This window comes from Homo sapiens, chromosome 4 (genome assembly GCF_000001405.40).
Source record: "Homo sapiens chromosome 4, GRCh38.p14 Primary Assembly".
Lineage (NCBI taxonomy): Eukaryota > Metazoa > Chordata > Mammalia > Primates > Hominidae > Homo > Homo sapiens.
This window is the reverse complement of record NC_000004.12, coordinates 175,751,050-175,763,137: the sequence shown is the minus strand read 5'-3', so window position 1 is coordinate 175,763,137 and position 12,088 is coordinate 175,751,050. Positions and strand designations below refer to the sequence as shown.

The following is a 12,088-nucleotide window of genomic DNA, read 5'->3' as shown; positions in this document are numbered from 1 at the left end:
AAAAGTAGTTATTGTTAATGAAAAAACTAGCAGCATCTATTTTTTAACAACTTTATAGATATATATTTTACATATAACATTCACCCAATTAATGTGTACAATTCAGTGGTTTTTAGAACACAGGCAGCATTGTGAAACCATTACCACAATCTAATTTTAGAACATTTTTATTACTCCAGAGAAAAACCTCCTACCTATTAGCAGTCATTCCTCATTTCCCTTCCCTCTCTCCCAGTCCCGCGCAACCACGAGTCAATCTAGTTTCTGTCTCTATAGATTGGCTGCATCTACTTTAATCCATTTTGTTTCTTATTTCTGTTTTTCTTAGTGTCTGAATTAGACACTCACCCTGGGGGTTGTGGGGAAAGAAAAAGCAATCATCTGCACTGGCCCTTGAGACATGCATTTTCACGTGTGGCCAATTGCACAGATGCGCATATGTTCTTGTTTTGTTTTGTTTACCCACTGGGAATCACTTTCCCATAATTTTTTTTAATCGAATGCCTTTTTATAACATTCATGAATAATATTTTATCTGTCTAGAAGTGAATACTTAGATTCGGACATTTAAATCCTTTGTCTGCTGTCTTTTATTGATTTCAGTCAGAGTTTAAATACATTTCATACTAAACATAGCAATACTCGATAAAAGACTAGCAAGCTGATGCTAAATATAGTGAATTTACCCCTATGGCTTCAATATTTGACGTATTGTGAATGTTAGTGCTAGTCTAAATGTTGTTGGGTGAATGAATGAAAGAATAAATAAATGAGTGAATAAAAATGTGGCAAACATGTTGTATGAGCAATAGAGCAATATATTATTAATACCAATTATAGATGTTCTTGGCTGAATTTCTTTTGTGTTTGTTGATAATATTAAGTGGCATCCCTGCACTATATTAAAAACTTAGCAAACTGTCATAAAATGCATACTAAGTGTCAAGTAAGCGTAGAATGACCAAGGGAATTCAAAGCACATTAGACGAGGACACTTGCATCTGAAGAACTCCTAATCTTTTTCAGACATTGAAAGCTTATTATGGCCCAGTGCAGTGGCTCTCGCCTATAATCCCAGCACTTTGGGAAGCCGAGGTGGCTGGATTACCTGAGGTCAAGAGTTCGAGACCAGCCTGACCCATATAGTGAAACCTCATTTCTACTAAAAATACAAAATTAGGCAGGTTTGGTGGTGCATGCCTGTAATCGTAACTACTTGGAAGGCTGAGGCAGGAGAATTGCTTGAACCTGGGAGGCAAAGGTTGGAGTGAGCCGTGATCATGCCATTGCATTCCAGCCTGGGCAACAAGAGTGAAACTCAATCTCAAAAAAAAAAAAAGTTTATTATTTGGCTGGTGAGAAACTGTTGATGTTATTTATCATGTTCCTAGACTAGAAATGGTCAATTAATTTAGATTTTATGATTTTTATTTTTATTTTTTTGTCAATGGAGAGACATTACTCAGGTGTTTTATTACTTTAAAAAACCTTTTAGTATATTATTAATTATTAAATTATAGATGTCCAAATAATTATATCCTACATTTTAAATCTGTTACTTAACTATTTAATTGCGGCAAAATAGATTAAATACAATTGTGGGTCAATGTCTATTTGAAATATTGGTAGAAGGACACCTGCTGTATTTTATAGCATTAGGTTATAGTAACATTGTGACATCATTCAACACATATTTATGGAGATCATATTGTATGCAGCAGTGTAGCGATTAGAATTTTTGCACTAGGCTGGGCCCGGTGGCTCATGCCTGTAATCCCAGCACTTTGGGAGGCTGAGGCGGGTAGATCATGAGGTAAGGAGTTTGAGACCAGCCTGGCCAACATGGTGAAACCCTGTCTCTACTAAAAATACAAAAACAGGCAGACATGGTGGTGTGAGGTAGGAGAATCACTTGAACCCAGGAGGCAGAGGTTGCAGTGAACTCCAGCCTGGGAGACAGAGCAAGATCCATCTTGAAAACAAAAATTTTTGCGCTAAAGCAAGTACTCACTTCTAGCTCAGTGTAGATCTTGACTAGTGACTCTGAGACTGTGTCATTGCTTCTCAAAGTGATACATAACTTTCTCCCTCAGTAACTCTGGGATAAGAACAGCACTTCCCTTAGAAGTTTTTATGAGAATTACATAAAACAATAAATAAAAAGGCCTTAATACCAGGCTTAGTATAAAATACAATTTCAATAATTGTTAGCTGTTATTCTAATGTCACAGTCATTCTGTGGTCATCAAGATGTTTTTTGATTGTCTATTATTACTGTTTATATTTCAGATGTACCCAGACAAACATTTCTCATTCTAAGAGTCCTATTTTCTGTTGTTTTATCCTTAAGCAGGAAGATCTCGGTGTATATCTCTGTATCTATTTCTCTCTCTCTCTCTCTACCTGCATCCATTTAATGACTGAATAATTCACTACTCAGGGAGCTCTAGTTTTATAAATATTCCCTATGGTTTTCAGTTTATATGAAGAGTATTTATTCTTTTCCCATGATTTTCATGTAATTTATAATCATCATTGGAATCTTGATTTAATCTTTATAATCTGCATTTGAATATATCTTAAACCTCTAAAACATATTTCCTCAACATGAGAGTCTTTTGAGCATATATTCATAAAATGTCCTAGAGTTTTATAATGTGAAGAGCTATAAGAGATAAAAATAGTCCCCCAAGGTTGTTGTGTTGCTTGTCTCCTCATCTTTTCTCAGATGCCTTCTTATACATCTTATACACCTGCTTCTTATACATCTTATACACCTGCTTCTTCATTTTGAATTTCACAAATATTTATTTCCATAAACACCTACCTATTCTTGGGAATCACTTGGGAACTGTCAAAAATTCAGAAGTACACACATGGATCAATTTGATTGGAGGAGAAAGCGTTTTAGATGTATTTATTTAGATTTATTTTATTTTATTATTTTATTATTATTTTTGTTGAGACGGAGTCTCACTCTGCTACCCAGGCTGGAGTATAGCGGAGTGATCTCCGCTCACTGCAACCTCCACCTCCCAGTAGCGATTCTCTTGCCTCAGCCTCCAGAGTAGCCGTGATTACAGGCATGCACCATCACACCCGGCTAATTTTTGTATTTTTAGTAGAGACTGGATTTCACCATGTTGGCCAGGCTGGTCTCTAAATCCTGACCTCAGGTGATCTGCCTGTCTCGGCTTCCCAAAGTGCTAGGATTACATGCGTGAGCCACTGCACCCAGCCAGATTTAGATTAAAACATAACATTCTTGTATTCTTTCTGGTAATAGTCTATAAAAGATAATCTCTTTCTTATGAAGGAGAAAATTGCTATATCCCCTCATTAATACATAATTCCTCATATTTTAGAGATTAAATTTTTACTATAAAGTGATACATAATCATGGTAAAATTTCAAAAGCTATGGGATGGTATAAAAACAAATTAACAGTCCCAATTTAGCCCTTCACAAACCCCAGTGTTCATTTCTGGGATAACCACCATTCATAGATTTGTATCTTCCTCTACATTTTCAATTCAAATACATGATATGAGTTTAAACTCATAATCTATCATTAAATAAACTGAATTGCTTGTTGGAGTTGCATAGGTTGATTGCCAGCATAGGTTTGGAAGTCTTTTTTAAGGAAAAGGAAAAGACCCTTGAAATTCATAACAAAAATTATTTAGCAAGCTATGTACAAAAGGGAGAAAAAGGGTAAAGAAAATTTTATGCCTTTTACAGTTTAACCTCTTATTGTCTTGATATTTGATTTTTAATGCTAAGTTGTCTTGAAGAATTATCTACGTATAATTGAAATCACTATTTTCTCTTGCCCCCCCCGTATTCCTCAAACCCCTGTTTAGTTTGGTTTCCCTTTATCAAAATCACAAAACCATCATCATGAGGCAGATAACCACTTATGAAAAACCCATACAGCTACACACAGCAAATAACTGGACACTGTATTCAGACACTAACAGTGAGATTTGCGGTCTCAGAAATGCCTTCAAGAGCATCTGTAACCTGACTTGCTGGCACTCAATGGACACTTAATAGTTTTTGAATGGCTGATTGCATGAACTAAAGATTTAATTTTGCACAATATTGTTTTTTAGAATAGTATAACTGTGTGCTGCATGCTAGACACTGAAAACAGCTGAGGTCTCAAGGAGAGTAGATTCTAGCAATTTTTGTGACTTCATTTTGCCACAAAATGGAAGAGGCTGTCTGCCTTGCATAAATTAGCATGAATTTGGAAATAAAACTTGATGTTGCAATCCCTTTTAAAAACAAAATTGAAAGCTGACCGCCTCCTGGGCACTGGAGGTAAACTGCATGTTCAGTGTGTGATTTTGTATCCCCTGCTGTGCCTCAGTAGAGGACAGCAGGATGTAGTCAGCATCTTGTATTTATTTTTATGTACTAGGACTTTCCTACTGTTACAACCCCAGGAACAATCTTGGAAAAACATTCTTTGTTTCTGTAAATCTAAATAAATTTTCTCAATGTTCCTTTTAGCATCTATAAAAAACGGTCATTTTTAGATTTAATTTGCTATTTACTCACTGGTGGATCAATTGACACTCTCTGCCAGTGTCTCCTAAATAACACTCCACATTTAGGCAGTGCATTACAGTTAGAAAGCTATTTTACATACATAATCATATGCTTGGAATTGGTGAAGCCAACAGATTTAATTGAATCTGGCTAAACTTACGACTTTCATCATATCACTTGCTATTCCTTATTGATGTCTTAAAAGTTGTTATCCATTTTCGTAAAAATGCTACTGTTGAGAAAGCAAAATACCTTGATTTTCTTATGGCACTTTATATTTTTTCCAATTTTTAAAAAAGAAATGGAATAAACAAGAGAATATATTGCTTACTAAGCATTTTTTTGTCCCAGCCCTGTGTTGTATGTTTTAAAATAAGTAATACAAATGTTAATTCTTACAGTAACTCTTACAGATGACTCTGGTTAATTTAGGAAACAGAGATTTGGAGAGGTTCAATGGGTTACTTTGGATCACTCCCTGGGGAAGTGAAGGGCCACAACTGGCAGAGGCCTTTCCTACTCCAGGAACTGAACTTCTTCCATTGTGTGATGGCACTTACTTCTCCATTCTTCTGCTTTGGTTGTAAATGTTAGGTTACATAACATATTTACAATTATGTCACTGCAGTTTTATTTTATCATGATATTAGGCTTTTAACCTACTTTTAATTCCATTTCTTGGCTAATCTGTTCAAACATGTTATTATCTGTACATTTTTATACTTATTCGGGTTCTATGAATGGTTCTTTGTTCAGTCAACCAAGTGTTACCCTTCTTCCTTCTTGGATACAGGGCTGCTCCCTCTCTTTGGTCTCGTGGTAATGCTTTCTAATGAGCATATGATTCTCTCAGATACTCTTCTCATTACATGTCTTTTTCCTTGAACTTTAAAATTAAGTCTTAAAAACCAATTTACCCAATCTCTGATTGTGTACATGATGGGTTGTTACATTCCTTGCTAAGAAATACACTTTATGTTGAGAACATTCATTTTGAACCTAGTCTTTGCTAAAAGCACTAGTGGAACTATGTATATTCCCCATTTGAGTAACTGATCATGATTGTGCTTGTTAGTTACTTATCCAGGCGTAATACATTTTAGTGACATAAAGCAACAACGAACATTTTTATATCCCACGATTACTGTGGGCCGGGAATTTGGGAGTGGCTTGGCTAGACGGTTCTGAATTGGGGTCCTTAATGAGACTGAAATAAAATGTGAATGGTGGCTGTAGTCATAGGCAGTTCTGGCAGGGTTGGAGCATCCACTTCCAAGGTGATTCATTCACCTGCTCATGGCTGGTGCTGGCTCTCAGGGGGAGTCCTCAGTTTCTCTCCATGTGTGTGTTTAGACGGGAATGCCTGTGCCTCCTCATAGCTTCGCTCTGACTTCTCCTAGGGTGACTGAAGCAGCACTCCCCTGTATAACCTGGCCTCAGGAGGGGCACACTGTCACCTCTGTCACATCCAATTGGTCACACAGATAACACCTAATGCAATGCTGGAGGAGACTATCTAAGGGCATGAATACCCCAAGCATCCCTGGGAGTCATCGTGGAGACTAGCTGCTACACATTCCCAGAGGTAGCCTCCAGTTCGCCTTCTTAAACCCACCCATTGCCCCATATTTGCCTTCATTACCTAGCTCCTCTTTCTTCATAAGATAACTAATATTCTCTTTATCCCCAGAGTTGCCTTGTCTGCTTACGATCTCAATTTACTTTGAGATGTCAGTATTTTATCAAAGGGGCAATTGATTTTACTTGTCCTTCTATTGCTTATCACCTAGAGTATTTTTAATACTAATTCGAAGTGCATGACTATTAATGATTGCATATATTATTTAGTGTGTTTATTCCACCGTGTACAGGTGTTTTATAAGTTCATATACCTAGTTCTGAGATCTTCTTCTAGATTACACATCATTCTGCCCATTAGATATGTCTGCTTTTACGTCCCAGTGACAGCTCAAATTTATGTCTGTCTGTGCTTTTCCTTCTACTGGCTCCATGTCCTATCCTGTCAAACCCAATGAATGGTTCCACCATACCTTAGTCTCATAAACAAAGTACTGTCAGTAATTTGGAGTTCTTTTCTTCCCTCACACACAACATGAAACCAGCCAGACTGTTTCATGGAGTCTAACTTTTAAAACCTTTCAAGATTGCCATATATTCTGCCTCGCCATTGCTACAGCCATAACTCAACTCTTGTCATTCCTTTACTGAACTGTGTTGCTAATCTCTATGTTTTCACCATTCTTTCCATCACTCCATCAGAAACCCATCCTTCAGAGAGCTTCCAGAGCATTCTTCCCAAAATGCAAGTGTGAGCATATGCCTCCTATGCTTAGGATCCTTCAGTGGCTCCTTACTACCTTGCAACATAACCCTACTCTCTCTTCTTTCCTTAAGTCTTACCACTCCCTCCACCACCACACCTAACACCTTCCAGAACATGCTAGATCTTAATCACCTAAATAACTTGAAATTCCTAACACATCAGACCTTAGCTCCTATAGTGATATGATCAGCCTTGAAATCTTCTCTCCTCCTCTTCTTTCTTACCTACTGAACAGCAACTAATTTTTCAAGGCTCAATACAAAGCTTGCCTTTTTTGGTTTGCCTTTCTGTCTTCAGTTTTCTCTCCTCATAGTCTGCAGGTCTTGTGATGTCAATGACTATGACTTACTCTTTCCAAATCTCCTGAGATCGTTGTAGTCACTGACACACAGAAGCCATCAAGTAAAATGCTGATGAATGGAAATAGAAATTCATTCATTTGACCTAGGTAGGTGGATTACATGAATATTTGACTCATCCAGGAACACTACATAATTACCTACAACACAGGTTGTGTGTGAATGCTATTCCCAGGCAATTGTCTGTTGGGCTTGCAGAGAAGTAAGTACTACCAACGTAATTGGAGGAAACTTTTTTATGCAATTTTGAAATAGAAGCAAATTTATACTTTCTTTACCACTAGATTGAAGTTTTACATTAAGGAAAATGAGTTAGTTTTTCTTATTTCCTATTTAATGTGTTAGAACATAAATAAACATTTCAGATACCCTGAACCTTAATTCTTGAAAATATTATTATTGATTGCATGATTACAGAGATTCATTTTAGAATTGAAAAATCTCTTTTGCTTCTTGAAAGCTATAAGGTAAATTTTATGTTTAGTCTTTCTGACTGCATTTGAAACCTTAAAATGTTAATTCTGTAGCATTCATGTAATTACAGAGAAGAAAATAGAAGTTATTTTAGGTATAGCTAAGGATACCATATTTGTTTATTTTTTTTCATTTAAGACATCTTTTAGTACAGTTATCACATTGTCAACCAGAAATGCCACATTGTTTCTACATTATTATTATTCTCTTTTTTCTTCTGTAACAACAACCAGTTGTATTTCCTTGGGTCTGTATGTTGTTATGATACAAGTGTGAAAGTGTTTGAATTAAGAAAGGTTAAATGTTTTATTTTTCCCTTATGATATTATAATGTTCAAATTACACAAAAAAATTTTTTTGAAGATTTTTTTCTTTAATTCTTGAGACATAGTTGAAAAGTGCCTACAAAATGTGTAATTGTGTGCGTGTGTGTTGTGGGGGGAGTAGACAGAGGGAGAGAGGAAGGAAGGAAAGGACACAGAAATTGAGATGTATTTGCTTTAGAGCAACAGGAATATCAAATCAATGAATATTTCACTTTGTTGTTGGAATAGAATGGTTGTGCACTGACATCTGGAATAAATAGCTGAGAAGATGAAGGCAGAAGAATTATCTCTATTTTAATTAGATAAATAATTTACAGCTCTACACTAGCCTTGTCTGTGTCCCTGGATTATGCATTCTATTTGTAGGTAAAACAAATGTGAATGTACTTCTAGATACTGGCCTTGGCTATCATTCCTCCTTTACTTTGAGTGTTATTGTGCTTAGAAGTAAATAACCATGAACTTTGAAAGAAAATACCTACAAACAATGTAGTCCTAAAGTTTAACATTGAGCATTTTGGGATTACTATTCCTACTTAGGTTAGAGCTTTGCAATTGAACACAATGTGTTTAAATTATGTAAATAGAAATACAAATTTAACATGAACCCATTTGTATATAGAGAGTTAGAAGTTTGGGATATTTTTATCCTTAGATGTTCTTTTATCTTTTTTTGCTGAGAAGTTACTTTTGGGATCAAAAGGATCTACTTTTCATGTGTTAAACATCCACCTTTCAATACCTTAATCCCTCTCCCTTAAACCAAGGATCTTGTTATTGTTGTTGTTGTTATTGTCACTTAAGCCAACTAACTTGAGCATATCAAGGAGACTGTTGATTCAGCCAGCCAGGCACATACCCATGCATCTAGCCAATAGTCATTATTTTCAACCACAGTTCACTCAGTGTTTTAGTGGGAATTAGCAGGGCATGGGAAGGGATTAGGACTAAGAAGTCATTGAAATATTTACTTATTAAGATATGTTGAAAAATAGTGATTTGGTAATACTTTTAATAGGTGAATTAGGAACAAGTGAATTGATAGATTGGAGCATAGATTTTTCTAGTTGGAGTAATTGACATAAGTAAAACTCTGAGGAGAAAATGCTCTCTCCCTTTATGAAGATTGGACCTACCTGGTGCGTTGGTATGTGTTGGGGTACCATTGCTAAGGGAACAGTAGATGATGGAGCACCTAAAGGCTGATGCTTGATGGAGAAGGCACACCATGATCAAATTGTTGGACATTAACATAGGTCCTTACAAAGTAACTTGTATTTTAGTTGATTCATACACTAAAAATGGAAATAGGATTTCTAGAAAAATATGTCAAAATTGTGTGCATGCTGGGTTGGAAAGTAAAGAAAGCAGAATTTGGAAGACCATTAAGGAGGCTGTTAGTTTAAAATATGAGGGGGCAAATAATTTGCTGGAATATAAAGAAGAATTAGAATATAAATGCCAAAGAATACAATTTCCCATGTAGTGAAGGGAGGGTGATAACTGGGACCTCAACTAGGGAACTTTATGAAGGTAAAAACACATTGTTTCAGAGTTTATCAATTCAGCTACAACTGTTTACTTGTTGGATTCCTTTTAAAATTGCATTCCTATTTTCATCCATAAAACATCATTATCTGCAGTCCATTTTGCTTTGATATTTTTATTTGCAATCTAAGTTAATAATATGCCTATGCTTTCTCTATACATATGTGACTTTTATTAACCTGACTGTGTTAGTATCTTTATAATTTCTTTCTGATCATTTTGAACAGCTTTCTCATCATTTTGAACAGCTTTCTCATAATAAATATGAAACATCACTAAGTATTATTTTTAGCTTATGTAGATATATGTTTCATGGTAAAATTAAACTCTTTTTCTGGTTAAGAATAACTGAAGTATATCGAACATGGAACATCAAATATTAATGATGTTGAAAATCGCTGGGATTGTTTCATGTATTGTAACAGACAAAACGATAAAGTTGCAGATCTCTGGAAATGAATTCATCCCTGTGGGTTTTAACTCTGTGTCCCATATGGGAAATGTAGACACTATGTTTCAGCGCATGGGAATACTAATGGAATTGATTAAATGATTCTTCCTAAAACTAGAGAACATTCTGTCTTTAGTTGTTCACACGTTGTCAAGCATGACGTTTTCCTTTCGAACCATTGGACAGAGTCGTCTCACTCTCTGCAGATGGAGCCTTAACACAGCTTCATGAAGTAAGCTGTTGCCTTGTCTCACTATTCAGATTATGCCCCAAATCCCTTTTAAGAGAGGAAGATGGCATAACCAACTTGGAGATGCTCCAGAACACAGTTTAAAAGGCAGGAAGAGGTCTTTGTCCTTTAATTTCATGTAAGAGATATATAAGCAAATAGAAGAAGATAGAAATAAAGGCTGGTTTGCTTTATTATGTGTCAAAAGTGGATATTCTTAGCAGTCAAGGACTTGAAACCAACCTTCAAACTCTGGAAATATGTCTTCTTGTAGGCTTTTTCTTTGGCATAATTCTTCCTTCTTGGAGCCGACTTTTTTAGAGCATAGAGGAGGGATCACCACATTTTGCTTGAGGAAGATGAAGGGACCAAGTGTGACTGGTTTGAAAGACCAGGAGACAATAATTAGGCAAACATGGGAGAGTTCCAAGTAGAAAGGACAGCACGGAAAAAGGCTCGGCCTTGCAGATACACTTCCTAAATCAGGGAACTGTTTAGTGTGCTGTCCACCAGCAGGCTTAGATTATAACATCAGGGTCACAGGAAGGCCAAAAGGACACTAAAGAGCTCCACAAAGAACAGGGATTTGAAAATATTTCACTTTCAAACCATCATCTTGGACTAGTTAGAAGGCAACACTCTATGCAAGAAATGATGATAGAAGGAATGATCTTCCTAAGTAAGAAATGATCCACAATTATATAAAATTACTAGGTAGACCAGACTGAATTAGTATGTGGAAATGTTGAAAAAAGAGAAAAACAGGAAGGTTCCATAGTTTTCAGCAATTAGGTACTTCCTGGTACCATTAGACAAGACTGGAACCCAGGATAAAAAATGCCAGGGAAGAAGGAGCTAACATCAATTGACTCCTGTTTTGTTTGTTTGTTTTGTTTTAACAATGCTCTCAAAAATAGAGCAAATTCTGTCAGCCATTATTTGTAAGGATAACATTTACTTTAACTTGCTCCCTCAATTATATTTTCTCCAATGTTTAAAAATTTTCCTTTTTTTCCTCTCCATGATGAAATACAATTTCATTTTCCTTGAATTGTAAAACAAACAAACAAACCAAAAAACAAACAACAACAACAAAAAAAAAAACAGGTGCATCGTGTGACTCCGGGTCATTCTCTATCAACTGTCCATGGTATAACCACATGTAATACTACATTAGCTCTCAGTTTTCCAGAATGATCTGTCATATAGTTTGCACAGAATAGATTCAGCTTTTTGGCAAGTCGGCTGGAAAAAGCTCCTCTCTCTCTCCAGAAACCCCAAGTTAATACAGGTGTTCTTATTATAGATAGCATCATTTAACCCTGTGGAGTCTAAGAAATTTGCTGAATATAAACATGTTCAATATTACAGTAATATATGGTTAGTTTATACAGTTAAATTATCATAAGATTAGTGACAAAAAATAAACAAAAGAATATTTTTCCTACAGTATCCTTGGGAAAATAAGTTGCCATTCTAGGTATTAAGGAGAAATTTAAGAAAATAATTTTACTGATTGACTGTAATTTCCATGATTTTCATTTCATATGTCCTAAATGTAATTATTTTATGCAATCAGTTTTCTGTCTATATTTTATATTTTATGATATTTCATGTCTTCTACATTCTCTATGATACTAAATGCTATCATATCCTCATATTCATTTTTATGACTCTTTAAAGCATTTTATTTTGCTGTATTTGAATTTTTGTTAGTGTATTCAGACATTTAGAATATAAATTGTATACAAGATTATGCACATCTTTTTTCCCCCTTCTGCTGATCATATCATCTCAAGT

The 12,088-nt window shown here is 35.6% G+C and overlaps 1 protein-coding gene across 7 annotated transcripts in view, besides 1 other annotated feature; it reads left to right on the top strand.

Annotated features, from left to right (window-relative positions):
* GPM6A (glycoprotein M6A) overlaps window positions 1–12,088 on the top strand; it is a 369,457-nt gene that overhangs the window by 239,256 nt on the left and 118,113 nt on the right. The gene's annotated exons all lie outside the window — the stretch shown is intronic.
* Window positions 8,556–9,108: an enhancer, noted in NCBI's record as "NANOG hESC enhancer chr4:176675181-176675733 (GRCh37/hg19 assembly coordinates)". NCBI's record gives its function as "activates a minimal SCP1, AML or CMV promoter by ChIP-STARR-seq in primed H9 embryonic stem cells {active_cell/tissue: H9 hESC(primed)}" and the evidence as "EXISTENCE:reporter gene assay evidence [ECO:0000049][PMID:30033119]".